The 15,159-nt window shown below is 40.1% G+C and overlaps 1 protein-coding gene across 5 annotated transcripts in view; it reads left to right on the forward strand.

Annotated features, from left to right (window-relative positions):
• AOX1 (aldehyde oxidase 1) overlaps positions 1-15,159 on the forward strand; it is a 96,228-nt gene that overhangs the window by 38,961 nt on the left and 42,108 nt on the right. For all 5 annotated transcript variants that reach the window (XR_007073113.1, XM_011511062.2, XM_017003946.2 and 2 more), the window contains exons 20-23: positions 2,379-2,475; positions 9,817-9,941; positions 11,937-12,070; positions 13,241-13,328. Coding sequence is in view for 4 of the 5 variants with exons in the window: in XM_011511062.2 (XP_011509364.1) it covers positions 2,379-2,475; positions 9,817-9,941; positions 11,937-12,070; positions 13,241-13,328 (444 nt within the window). In the remaining variant the exon portion in view is untranslated. The remainder of the gene's footprint in view (positions 1-2,378; positions 2,476-9,816; positions 9,942-11,936; positions 12,071-13,240; positions 13,329-15,159) is intronic.

The raw sequence follows: 15,159 nt of genomic DNA on the forward strand, positions 1-15,159 counted from the left end.
CGATCAGTGTCTCCAGGAGAACTGGGTGTTGGGGGTGCTTCTTGCCATGCTGCTTGATGCTTAGGAACATGGAGTTTGTCTCTGGGAATTTTTCTTACATTTTAAAATAAAAATAAAATCATGTCAAATAGACAAAAACGTAGAAGTCTAATTGGAGTCGAAGTGTGATTAGGCCTCCCAAATTTTCCTGGCCAGTTTCAAATTCAAACACTCTGTTCCCTTCTCAGGCCCTTTTCATTTACATGTTGCATGCTGCTCTTGCTTCATATATTCTGTCCCCTGAAGTTTGCTGGAGAGTTAGAATTACTTATTAGAAATTATTTACGTAACACTTCATCAATATTTTGTTTATAAATCTTTGCCCAATATCAGGGGCTAAATATCTACTCTCCACTCCCCCTACCTTCCAGCCAAATAAAAGCCCCAATAAGCAAATATAATAGATGCCACTCCCCCCACCCTCACCACTTCAACCAGCAGACTCGTGATTGTCTGCCAGAGAATCCCAGCATCAGATACAAGCTCTGGCTTTGTGGAAAAGAGTTGCCTCACATTGTGTTCAGAGATTAAGCTCTCAAAGTCTAAAGATCATCAACTGGATCAGAGCAAATTTAATCAAAGTTTAGAGCAGGGAAATATGCCCCTCTCCCTATACATTACAGTTCTTTTATCACTTTCCTGACTAAGAAAAATTCAGAAAATTGGCTCAAAGTTATTCAAAGAGCAAGCAGCCAGTGAAGTTGAAAAAGATGAAACTTTTAAAAATAGGATTTATAAAACCTAGCTTTTTTTTCAACCTGGAATCTCTTTAATCTTAGATTAATAAGAAAAGCACATGAACAGATTCCAATAGGAAGTGTGTTATCAATCAAAATAGAACAAAAACAAATATATCTCTGTCACTATCACAAAGATTTAATCTGGCACATGCTTTTCGAGTTTTTAGTAGATTGAATGGGGCAACGATCAAAACTCTTGAATCAAGGGGTAAGGCTGATGACCATAATGGAAAAAAATGTGTTCCCTACCGGAATCTGTCCTGAATAATAATCATCAACAACAACATGAGCATAGCTAGGACCTATACAGAGCTCACTGTGTGGTCAACATGGTTCTAGGTCAGTTTCACACATTAACTTACTAAATGCTCACCACAATCCTATGAGGCAAAAACTATTTTTATCCCCATTCTGATGGGGAAACTAAAAGGCAGGGTTACCCAAGGTTACATAGCTAGTCAGTAACAAAAACAATCAACAAACACTCTGTCAAAGAACCTGGGCCCCACCGGTGCTATAAACAAACCAACCCAGTTTTTGAATGGGGGAAATGGCAGAATCACAATAGCCCATCCCTCTAAGGGGTGTTGTCTAGACACCTACTGGTGGCCAGAAGGAAACAGAGATAAGAGAATCCCCAACTACCAACAGAATGGAATTTCATGGATGGACAATAACCCACAGTAGATAATGCCAGCAGGAGCTGGCACACCACATTTGCCAGTGGACACATGGATTACTGCAAGATAAATTCTCAGGGATAGCTAAAAACCAACCTATGTTATTGTAACTACATCTCTGGTTTTGTGCACCACTGTACCCTTTTACTGGGCACCCAGGGAGAGCCAATAGGAGCTAGTGTATAAATGGATTTGTACACCCAGCTCCCAGACAGGGCTTGTCTGAAATCTTACTTCCAGAGCTGGAGGTCCCAGGTGCTCTACTGCCCTGTGCAAATGAAATGCTCATCCCCACAAAGAAGGAATATGGGGCTGGCAGGCAGAGCCACCATGATCCCAATCACTAGAGTCTTTTCAACTAGCAATTATTGAGTGTTTACTATATGCAATATAAGCTCTTCACGTCTTATTTCATTTTATCTTCACCAACCACGATCCTATTGGAGCTATATGCACACCTGTTACTTCCATTTTACAGACAATGATAAGAGAGGTGAAGTGATAGGCCCACAGTCAAAGCTGGTAAGTGGGAAAAATGTGTGCACAATGCTGACTGGGTCTAGAGCCCAGGCTCTGAAGCCCTGTGCTGTATGGCCTTGGCTACATGAAATGGATTGTGGTGTGCAGACAATAACCTGCCTGGAAAATACTAGTTTCATTCTGGGATCACTTAGATGCCAGTTTTTTTCTGTGCATATTATTTCTTCAGACTCAGTAGGCACATTTACATTTCCTCACTGGGGAGTCTCTCTGCAGTTGGATTCTTAGCTTGGCTCACCAGGGTCATGGTGAAAGTGCACGGAACCACAAGGTGAAGGGAGAAACAACCCCTGCTCAGAGGATGTGCAGTGGGGTGTGTCTGCTGCCCTAGGGCAGGGTCTCTTGCCCAAGCTGCCTCATTCCTCTGTTCTCTTTCTAGGAAAGTATACAACACAACTCCTCCTTCAAGCCAGAAAGGAAACTGGAATATGGAAATGTTGACGAAGCATTTAAAGTGGTTGATCAAATTCTTGAAGGTAAAAAGTAATGGAAGAGTAAACAACCCTGGAAGTCTTCTAAGCATGTCAGTTTAAGGCTTCCTTTGTCTTCTGGAAATCATCGGGCAGCCTAGGGGGGTGTTGCTCCTCAGGAACAGGCAGAACAGGCACCTCATTCACAAATGTGTTTCCCTCCGTCTCTGGGGTAGGCCAAGAGCCAATGGGGAGGCAAAAGAGGAGGCAAGACCCTGCCCCTCTTCCCTGACCCCCCTTCCCTCATCAAGGCTCCAGTTGTTAGAGATGTCATTTTCTTTCCTGTTCACAACCACCCTGCAAGAGGGTATTATTATCTCAATCTTATAGGCTGGAAAATGGAGGCTCAGCGTAATTATGGAGTGTGACCAAGGTCACACAACAACTACTAAATAACAGAGTTGGCCATTGAATTGATAGGCTTTATTAGGATTTCCAAAGCCCATGTTTCTTCTTCATCCTTTCTCTCTCTGATTCTCCCTCTCTTCCTTTCTTCCTTCTCTGCTTTTTCTTCCCTTCCTCTTCCCTTCCCTTTCTCCTTTCTCTTTCTTCCAGACTTCTTTGCTGTATGTATGTATGTAATTAAAATTAAATTTGCCTCTTAGAAAATAGTTAATTATAGCTTTCCAGTACAATTCCTTAACTTTTGGCTTTGAGATATTTTAAAACTTACATAAAAGTTGCAGAAACATTAAAGAAACTCCCAAATATTTTTCACTCAGATTCCCCAATTATACACACACACATACACACACACACACTTCTGAGCCATTTGAGAGTAAATTGTAAACATGATGTATGTCTCTTTACCCCTAAATAGTCAGCATTTGTTTCCTAAAAACAGGATGTTGTCTAACATAAACATAGTTATCAAAATCAGAATATTAACACATATTCTATTAATCTACACAGTTTATTCAAATTTCGCTAGTTGTCTCAATAATGTCCTTTATAGCAGAAAAAGAGGTTCATCATAAGTCTTAAATAACCCATGCTTTCCCCGCCACACTCTGCTGTCATTGCTGCTGTGAAAGCTGTCCTAATGCCTGCCTCACAAGATCTCTGATTTACAGACATGCTATTGGGTGGGTATGGGCAGTCTGTGCCACATCTCAGAGCAGAGAAATCATCCGGCATTATCTGTCTTTAAGTGAATTTCCAGGGCATTGGCCTCTAGTGCATGTTAAAAACTCCCATCTTCTGGGCTGGGCATGGTGACTCATGCCTATAATCCCAGCACTTTGGGAGGCCGAGGTGAGTGGATCACTTGAGGCCAGGAATTCAAGACCAGCCTGGCCAAAATGGCAAAAACCCCTCTCTACTAAAAATACAAAAATTCCAGGCGTGGTGGTGGGAGCCTGTAATCCCAGCTACTGAGGAGGCTGAGGCACAAGAATCGCTTGAACCCTGGAGGCAGAGGTTGCAGTGAGCCGAGATTGCACCACTGCACTCCAGCCTGGGTGACAGAAGGAGACTCCATCTCAAACAAACAAACAAACAAACAAACAAAAAACACAACTCCCATCTTCTTAATTTTTCTCACCAACCTTGATCACAAGAATAGGAAGAGTCCTAAGACACATCCCATCCTGAGTGCACAGCCAGAGCTGTGTAATATGTCACCAGTCAGCCCAGCTTCTTAAGTTCCAAGCCCATCATGTCTCAACTCTATAGGTGCATTAAACTTGAAGCGTGTCAGGGGCTGACTGGAAATGTCACCTGAAAGCTGTAGGAAAGACACCTGGAACTGTCACCTACCAGTTTTCCTTGGCATTGTGTCTTATTAGCTGTGTAACCTGGCAGGGCACTTCTCAGGGCTCAGTCTCCCTGTTTTAATATTACATGGATAAAGTAAAAACAATTTCAAATGTGAATTATAAAGATTATAAGAGATAATCATGTGTTCTTGGCATATAGTAACAAATCAATAACTGTGAGCAATGATTATTAGATTTAGATGTTTTTGTTGTTTTCCTGAAAATGTTGTCTATTAGTGAGATACGTTGGCAGGTGTTCATTTATCAAACCCAGTGTTTCCAAGATTTTCTCCTTATAGGAATCACTGAGGATATTTATGAGACCTAGAGATCCCTGTGCCCTTTTTTAGAATTGTAGAGGATCCAAAACAGCCCAGGAACTGGTCTTAACAAGTTTTCCAGGTAATTCTTAGGGCTAGTAAAATGTGGAAAATACTGGAAAAGTGAGTTTGATTTATGGGAATGAAGAGAAAAAGAGGGTACATTTCTATCATAGAGCGTTCCCGGCATGAGCATGTTGGAAATATCAATATTTAGGGGGGTTCCTTGTTTCATGTTTGTTTCCTGACATAATGAGTATTTGTGCAAGAATTCCATTGTTGTATTTTTCCTTGACATCTTCTTTAATTATCTAATTCAATTAGGTGATTGATTTAGTCTGCCTCTTACTTGAATTTTTGTTATTGCTGCATACCCCATTGATAAGTATAAAAATGATACGGGAATATTAAAAAGGACATTTATACTACTTTTCAGTATAAACGCCAGCTGCAGTAGCTCACGTCTATAATCCCAGCACTTTGGGAGGCCAAGGCAGGACATTTGAGGCCAGGAGTTTGACACCAACCTGGTCAACGTAGCAAGATACCTTCTATTAAAAAAGAAAAAGGAAGCCGGGCATGGTGGCTCATGCCTGTAATCCCAGCACTTTGTGAGGCTGAAGCAGGCAGATTGCTTGAGGCCAGGAGTTTGAGACCAGCCCGGTCAATGTAGCAAGACTCCTTCTATTTAAAAAAAAAAAAAAAAAAAAAAAAAAAGGAAGCTGGGCACGGTGGCTCTTGCCTGTAATCCCAGAATTTTGTGAGGCTGAAGCAGGCAGATAGCTTCAGGCCAGGAGTTTGAGTCCAGCCTGGGCAATATGGCAAAACCCTGTCTCCAATAAAAATACAAAAATTAGCCAGGTGTGGTGACAAACACCTGTAATCCCAGCTACTCGGAAGGCTGAGGCACCAGAATGGCTTGAACCCGGTAGGCGGAGATTGCAGTGAGACAAGATCAGGCCACTGTACTCCAGCCTGAGCAACAGTGAGACTGTCAAAAAAAAAAGATGGATGGATGGAAGGAAGGGAGGAAGGAAGGAAGGAAGGAAGGAAGGAAGGAAGGAAGGAAGGAAGGAAGGAGGGGAAGAAAAGAAAAGGAAAGACAAGGGAAGGGAAAGACAAGGGAAGGCAAAAGAAAACCAATTTTCATCCTCTTGACTCACAAGTTTGAGTCTAGCTTTTCCCTTTGTCTGCTATCGTCTTTTGGATTATGAGTTTCTCCTAATATCTCATGATATTTCAATGCGAGGTAATTGCAATTAATTATCATAGCAACACTTTATCTGTCTTCTAAGAAAATAAGTGTCCCACACTGGGGCCTGTAGGAGTGGGGGTAAGGGGAGGGAGAGCATCAGGAAGAATAGCTAATGCATGCTAGGTTTAATACCTAAGTGATGGGTTCATCTGTGCAGTAAACCACCATGGCACACGTTTACCTATGAAGCAAACCTGCACATCCTGCACATGTACCCCAGAACTTAAAAGTTGAAGGAAAAAAAGAAAGAAGATAGGTGTTCCAAGAAAAAAAATATTTAAAAGATAAAATATGTGGAGCATTACATCAGGTCTTAGAATGCGTTCTTGGAGGGAGAACTATTATTGTTTGCACTTATCTGCTGCGAAGATATATTTCAACTCTATCTAATCCCGGTGTCACAGCACCAGAGGATGCTAAAGATTACCATTTTCAAATGAGCCAGCTGAGGCTAGAGAGGCTACCTGATTGACCAGGATGAAATCTAAGAGTTTTCCCAACTCCAAAGTTAGTATTCTTTCCTCTACATTATCCTGCTTCTCATTTATCTCATTAAAATTCTGTTAGCTGGGATGTGCTTTATACTGGAGAGCACAGAGAACAATCTGTATAAAAGGATTTGCAAGAGACCCAGGGAGCCCTGAAACTGAGATGATTTTCCCCACAACCTATCCTGCTGGGCATGGTACAGATAGACACATTCACATCTTAGCAGATTTGGGACTTTAAGGGCCTCTTATTAAAATGTAAATATGCCTGGAGGAATCACTCCTAAACCCATACTGGGATAACATTTTATCTCAGGGATTAGTTGATCAAATTGGTTTCCAACCTAGAGAGTTGACAGCAATACCCTAAGGTGAAGAGGGGGCACTACGGGTGGGGGCTGTCAGGGTAGGCAGTGCAATATAACAGGTTTCTAAAACTTTCCCTTCTTTACAGATTTAAACAGGAACAGCTCTGTCTAATTTTTTTAGCTCTGAATATTTTAAATAAAGTGACTACTTAACAAAATAAATTCTGAGTGGATAGGCAGAATCAATAATACTGCAAGCTTGAATGTAAGCCTAGTGACAATGACATGGGTCTTTAGACTATTTGATAAGAGCTTAAATTGAAGTTAAGATCTGAGCTTGTGAAATTTTAATGTTTATATATTATAAGTGAAGCAGAATCTATTCATTTTTCTGTGCTCTTTTTTTAAACTCAGATTTTCGATAAGATAGGAAGTCCAGATTGCAATTTAAAACATCTCATTTTTTATGCAAATTGAGGGAATCCTCAATTTGCAAATCACTATTGCTGAGTAAATTTTTAATTTTTAAAAGTTCTGCCTTCCATTAACATGATCGTCAGTAATAATTGTATTCTGTTTGTTCCCTCTGCTTTTTATTCTTTTCCCCACCTTCCTGTGGGTTGCCTGAATATTTGCTTAGAATTTCATTTTGATTAATCTATAGTATTTTTTAGTATACCTCCTTGTACAGATTTTTTTTAGTGGTAGCTCTAGATAGTTTACACACATACATATACACATACATATATAAAATAAAATTTATATACATATAAAATATTTACATATATAAAATATCACAGTCTGGTTTCAACATTTTACAAGTTCAAGTCAAGTGTAGAAGCTTTACCTCCCTTTACATCCCTCTCCCTTTTTATAATATAATTGATAATTCTATTTATTTATTCTACATACATTGATAATCACATGAAGCAATGTTATAATTTTGCTTCAAACACAATTTAGGAAACCCAAGAGGAGAAAGAAAGTCTATTGTATATACTGGTATTTTTATTATTTCTGTTGTTCTTTCTTCCTTCCTGATATTTTAAGATTTCTTCATTTAAAAAAAAAATCATTTTCTGTCTGTTTTAAAAACTTCCCTCAGCCATTATTTCAGGGTAAATCCGTTTAAAACAAACTCTTAGTTTTCCTTCATCTGAAAATGTCCTCATTTCCCTTTCATTGTTGAAAGATATTTTTGCTGGCTATAGAACTCTGAGTTGACAGGTATTTTCACACTAGAAAAATTTTACCACTTCTTCTGGCCTCCATGGTTCCTGAAGAGAAATCTACTGTCTTTAAAAGTGCTTTTTTTTTTCTTTCTTTCTTTCTTTTTTTTTTTTCAGATGGAATCTCACTCTGTCGCCCAGGCTGGAGTGCAGTGGTGTGATATCAGCTCACTGCAACCTCTGACTCCCAGGTTCAAGCTACTCTCCTGTCTCAGCCTCCTGAGTAGCTGGGATTACAGGCATCCACCACCATGCCTAGCTAATTTTTGTATTTTTAGTAGAGACAGGGTTTCACCACGAAAGTACTTTTCTCCTATAGATGAAGTAGTGTTTCTTTCTCATAGCTTTCAACATGGTGCTTTTGTCCTTAGTTTTCTGAAGTTTGACTATGAGGTATCTTGGAGTGTATTTCTTTGAATTTATTCTATTTGGGATCACTCAGCTTCTTGAATCTGTAGATTAGTGTCGTTTGTGAATTTGGGGACATTTTTAGCCATTATTTTTCAAATAATGGCTTGACTTCAATGGCACAAATATTAGATCTTTTGTTATAGCCAATGGGTTCCTGAGGTGCTGTTCATTTTTTTTCCAGTCTATTTTTTTCTGCTTTTCAGATTGGCCAATTTCTATTGTTCTATATTCTTGTACATTAATCATTTCCTCTGTTCTCCCTATTCTGTTGCTGAGCCCATCCCTTGAACTTTTTAAATTTTTGCTGTATTTCTTAATTCTAAAATTTCTATTTCTTTTTTCTTTTTATACTTTCTATTTCTTTGCTGAGGTTTCTATTTTTTCATTTGTTTCAAGTGTTTGTGTAATTGCTTATTAAAGCATTTTTATTACAGCTGCTTTAAAATCCTTGTCAGATAATTCTAACATCTGTGTCATCTCAGTGTTGGCATCTGTTGATTGTCTTTTCTCATTGAAGTTGGGATTTTCTTGGTTCCTGGTATGAATGATATTTGATTGTATCCTAGACATTTTAGATATTATGTAATGAGACTTTAGATCTTATTTGAATCTTCTATTTTATTAGAATATTCTGTTTCACTAGAGTACTTTAACCTTTTACTGATGGAGAAGAAGGGGGTGATGCCTTGTTACTGCTAGGTAGGGGTTGTAAGTCCAGGTTCCCCATGTGGCATCCACTGACAGCACCCCAATAGAGAGGCTGGGACACCTCATTGCAGCCTGATGAGGGTGGAACTATAGATTTCCTACTCAACCTTCACAGTAGGGGTGGGGCTGCAGTTTTTTTCATGGTGTTTGCCTGGAGTAGAGTGCTTATTGTCTTAATTTTTTTGTCTTTCTAGTCTTCCACTTTTCTGGTCCTTTGGCTAGGGAGAGTGGGCTTTTCTTGAGGATTTTTTTTTTTTTTTTTTTTTTTTTGTCTTTGCCTGTTGGAGTTTTTAGATTGCTGGCTTCTCCGGAACTAAGTCTGGGATATCTGAGGCAAACAACAACAACAACAAAAAAACCCACTGAACTCACTGCTGTGTCTTTTCTTAGGTCCTGAAGTCCCTAGCTGGTCTGCCTTCTCTCCACCTTTCAGAGTCTTCTTATGTTTGTTTTATAAATAATGCTCAGGGTTGTTATCTGTACTTAACAGGAGGGACAGGGAGCAGTACATCTACTCCTGCTGGTCCTAGAGCTGGAAGCCTCCGCATTCTCACATTCCTACGCCTCTGCTAACAGCGCTGGCTCCTTATGACCTACTGAATCAAGACCCCTCTGCTTTTGGCTCTAGAAAGTCATACACCTTTCTCTAGGACTCTGTGACCTAGATATTGGCAGACACAAAAGATTCTCCTATAGAACTTTACTTCAAATCTGCAAGTAGACTGAAAGCTAAACATTGTTGTTTGTTATACTTCACTGTGCCCAGCAGAAGTACTATTAGTGGAATTTCTGCATAACGGGATAATACCTGGGGGACGCTACCTGTTGCTTCTGACTGCTTCCTTGACTTTTATGTATTTTCCTGTAACAGGTGAAATACATATGGGAGGTCAAGAACATTTTTATATGGAAACCCAAAGCATGCTTGTCGTTCCCAAGGGAGAGGATCAAGAAATGGATGTCTACGTGTCCACACAGTTTCCCAAATATATACAGGTAACATGGGGCCATTGTGGAGAGGACATGGCTAAATGATTTCTGGCCAGTGAAATATATCAAGAGCAATTAGAGGTAAAAGTATATTTGGGAATTTGAGGTGGGGGGATTGCTTGAACCCAGGAGCTCAAGGCTTCAGTGATCTATGATCACACCACTGCACTCCAGCCTGGGAGATAGAGTGAGACCCTGTCTCTAACACAAAACAAACAAAACAAAACCAATAATGTTATTTCTTCAGGGACTGAAGAAATATTGAGTATTAATAGCCATATTGATTTCAGTATTAATAGCCATATAAGTTCAGTGCTTTTAAAAGAGTGTTATTAAAGTGGGAGCCTTTTGTTTGTGGATTGTAGCTTTAAAACCAGTTATGGAATCAGCAGATCTCTTGCTCAGCTCTTGGCACCACTGTTAGGAACACAAGAGAAGAAAGAGGAAGACCTGCTCTCCAAAGCCTATGGTGCCTAACTCACAGGAAACAGTTAAGAAACAATATTGAAAATTATGCAACCAGGTGCTAAATCAGCAAAGGCAAAATTTATGTGGGTGGAGAAATTAGGAAAGAGTTTGCTGAGGGCTAGAATCATCCAGGAAGTCCCACAAAGAAGTCTTAAGTTTGGATTCAGAATGAGAGTGAGGTTTGTCTAGATGGTAAGACAAGAGAGGTCACTTCCAGGCAATTCCACAGCAAGATCAAATGACACCCATTCATTTATTTTCTCACCTCTTCTGCAAACATTTGTTGCCTGTGTCCTGTACCCTACGCAGCATGCATGGAAGGAAGGAGGAATAGCACAATGACCGCCCCAGCTGGAATGAAGGGGTGCCTTTAGGAAAGCTAGGTTTAAGCATCAGGGTGAGAGTAAGGGAAATGAGGCAGGGGGTCTTGATTCTGGTCATAAGGAGCCAGTGCTCTTAGCAGAGGAGTAGGAATGTGAGACTATGGAGAATGAGGCCTCGTAAAAGGCAGGATCCTAAAGAGGGTCAGACGAACTCCATTCCAGGCCTGCTTTTCTCTTCACTCTCCGTGGGATGTTGGGTCCATAACCTCATCCGTCTCAGGCTTCCCATCTGTAAGAATCAATTGTTAAGACTAAATGACCCCTAATCATTAGGATGGCAGAAAAGAGTGAGATCTGCATCTAGGAAAGACCAACTGGTCATCTTTAGCAGCAATCCAAGCAAGAAGTGAGAAGTGCTTTTTTTTTTTTTTTTTTTTTTTTTTTTTGAGACAGAGTCTCGCTTGGTCACCCAGGCTGGAGTGCAGTGGTGCCGTCTCAGCTCACTGCAACCTCTGCCTTTCAGGTTCAAGCGATTCTCCGGCCTCAGCCTCCTGAGCAGCTGGGATTATAGGCACGCACCACCATGCCCAACTACTTTTTGTATTTTTAGTAGAGATGGGGTTTCATCATGTTGGCCAGGCTGGTCTCGAACTCCTGACCTCAGGTGATCTGCCTGACTTGGACTCCCAAAGTGCTGGGATTACAGGCATGAGCCACCACATCTGGCTGAGAAGTGCTTATTTTCCAGTAGAGACAGTAGAATGCAGGGAAAAGACCCATGCTGAGTGAGGCTTAGAAGACTGCAAAATCCCACAGCTTTGGGAAACGTATGCCTAGGGATTAGTGTGAATAGAATACTTTAGGAGTGGTTCCTGGGGAAAATACAAAAAAGTATGAGTACAAAAATATCTCACTGGTAATGAAAACACTACTAATTAGTTTTGGCAATGTCATTATAGCCAAGTATTGCTGAGATCAGTTGGGGCTGTGGGCCAGGGTTGTTGGACATTATCCCATTATTTAGCATAACCACACAGTATGGGTATCATGTGCAACATTAAAGAATCAAAACATCTAGTGACTGTCACAGTCCATTTCAGGGGACAGGTTTTTTGTTGTTGTTGTTAAAATCATAGATGTGACAATGACAGTCACAATTAAGTCCTTGCTGAAGATGGATCAGATTAATCAGAACTATTATTGTTCACAGGACATTGTTGCCTCAACCTTGAAGCTCCCAGCTAACAAGGTCATGTGCCATGTAAGGCGTGTTGGTGGAGCGTTTGGAGGGAAGGTGTTAAAAACCGGAATCATTGCAGCCGTCACTGCATTTGCCGCAAACAAGTAAGTGGAGAAAATCTGCTAAAAATAAAGTGAAGTCACACTGAAAGTTCTCACTGTCAGAATCAATGAGGAAGAACCTGGGCCAAGATTATTTAATATCACATATACGATACAAACACACAAACAAGCTGCCAGCTTATTACACTTACTTGTCTTATATTGTCCTATAGCAACCAAAATAAGAGTCAATTACTGAAAATAATAAAAGCCACAGAAAAAATATAATACCTAGAAAGTGGGCAGAAACAGGTCCTGAATGGGTGGGAGTTACTTGTCCTCAGCACCTGCTGGACTGAGCTATATATGTAGAGGTCATATATATGGCTTTTTGAACAATGTACCTATATATACATACACACATATATATTTATATACATATAAACCATGTACCTATATATACATACACACATATATGTTTATAAACGTATATGTATGTTTGTGTGTATATATGTACATTCTTCAATATATCAAAGATATTTTTGTAAAATGGGGTCCCATATACACACATACATATATACATATATGTACATATACATACACATATATACATATACGTGTATGTATATATGTGTATATATGTATATGTGTGTATATGTATATTTTCTTGATTTAAATATAGACTTTGCTTTTGTTATGCTTACATTCATTTGTATCGCCATTTTCCTTTGAGGATCTCAAAAAATTCTCATGTAAAATTGTCTCTGGAGCAGGCACACCTAGAAGGCTTAATTTGTTTGCTGAGTAATATGGGTCAGTTCCTCCATCCCAGGAAGCAAAAATACCTTGATTCCAGATCTCTCCTATCAGGGAGCACTTGGTAGTTAGATCTGCATTCTTCCATTTGTGGCCAGTCTAAAGACCTTGGGACGATTTGCCTATAATAAAGGTTGTTATTACAATGGGAAATGCCCCCAAAGCAATGTCCTGGAGCCCCTGGCACCCAAGAGCCTCTGTCCCACAAGTTGCAAATGCCTGGCATTATTCCCTGACCTAACGGGAGGAAAGCCCACGGTGTATGCCTGAGATCAGCAGAGGATAGGCATGCGAAATAGTTGTGTTGTTCTGTGAGGCGTGTAGGCTCCACTCAGGCTCTTGCCAGGAGTTATATAAACCCCAGAGAATGCCTGCTAGGTAAAAGAGGTTACCTCACTTACTTTTTTTCTGTTTTAGACATGGCCGTGCAGTTCGCTGTGTTCTGGAACGAGGAGAAGACATGTTAATAACTGGAGGCCGCCATCCTTACCTTGGAAAGTACAAAGTGAGTACAAGAGGGCATGGAGGAAGGATTTATGTTGTAGATACAACATCCTATCAGTGCGCAGGGCAGTCTTTGGCTACTCTCTAGTGGGGAGTAACAATGAGCAAATCAAAAACAGAGCATCTATTTAACTTTCTATTGGTTGCACTGACTTTTAATTACTAGCTGGTTCAATGGAGGCTTTTCTGCTTAGCTCAAAGATGTCAGTTTCAGAAATAAAACACTAAGTGCTAGCTGGTATTGGCTGTACAGAGCAAATAACTAGAAAACGTGAGTGTGTACGCCATTAAAGTAGATCTGATTACCATACTTCTTCCCACATATAAAAGAGGTAAAAGTAGAATAATTCTCATAACAGTAGTGTTATGTGAAATTGCAATTATTTGTAAATGGGTTCCTCATTCTTCAATATATCAAGGATATTTTTGTAAAATGAGGTTCCAGAAATTCATAGAAAAAAATTTGTAGTAGAAAATAGTGATTCTTTTGCTTTATAAGAAAAATTTTACTTCTCAGAGTGGGCTAACTTCTCTAAGAAACAACTTAAAAGCTCTTAAACTTTCATTACGTCATTTCTTGCTCAAGTAACAGCTCAATATAATGCTCAATATAATCATTGAGGGGGGAAAGGGGAGGATTCTGCTTTATAAAATCATTCAGGGACTGGAGCTGTTTCCATTTATTGGTGCCACTGTGCCCTCAGACTGCATCATCCAATATAGTGGTCACTAGGAGCATATGGCTATTTAAATTTAAATTACCCAAATTAAATACAATTAGAAATTTAGCTCCATAGTCGTATTAGCTATATTCCAAGTGCTCAGTAGGCACATGTGGTTAGTGTCTGCCATATTGGACAGTGCAGACGCAGAACATTGCCATCATCACAGAAAGTTTTATTGGGTATCACTGCCCTACAAACTCTGAGTCTTCCAGGGGATCTTTTGCTGAGGGCAGCAGACAGGGAAGCGAGAGAGAAGAGAGCATGGAGTGTCACCTGGTAGGTGTTTTAGGTTTTAGGCACCGGACCTGTAAGTTGTGGATCTCACTTGTATCCAGATGTCATTGGCGAGACCTCTGTCACCTAACTGTAAGGGAGGCTGGGAAATGTCATCTTCCTGTGTGCCCAGAATGAAATACAATAGGATTTGTTAAATGCATAGCACTGTCTCCATCGCAAAACTGCATAACTAATACATGTTTTTTAGGAGATAATGAATGTTTCCATTTCAAACCACACTCACTCTAAACTGTATTTTGAATTTGATTTAGCTCAGAAAGATTTGTTACAGTAAACTTCATCCTGAAGGAGATTTTTTTTAATAAGACATATATGAAGTCATTATGAAAATATAACAATCTCAGGTTAAAAGATGGAGAGATGAATATGAATTGGAATATATATAGGCACTTTGTTAAAGAAGGTAAAAGATAGGTCTTCAAGAATGGAGGCCAGGCACGGTGGCTCAGGCCTGTAATCCTAGCACTTTGGGAGGCTGAGGCGGGTGAATTGCCTGAGCTCAGGAGTTAGAGACCAGCCTGGGCAACACGGTGAAACCCTGTCTCTAATAAAAATACAAAAAAATTAGCCGGGCATGGTGGCAGGCACCTGTAATCCCAGCTACTTGGGAGGCTGAGGCAGGAGAATCGCTTGAACCTGGGAGGCAGAGGTTGCAGTGAGCCAAAATCGCGCCACTGCACTCCAGCCCGGGTGACAGAGCGAGACTCCATCTCAAAAAAAAAAAAAAAAAAGAATGGATAGGCAGAAGGAAGGCATGCCAGGTGTGGGAATAGTAAGAGCAAAACTACAGAGGTGTAATAAACATGGCAT

This window comes from Homo sapiens, chromosome 2, assembly GCF_000001405.40.
Source record: "Homo sapiens chromosome 2, GRCh38.p14 Primary Assembly".
NCBI lineage: Eukaryota > Metazoa > Chordata > Mammalia > Primates > Hominidae > Homo > Homo sapiens.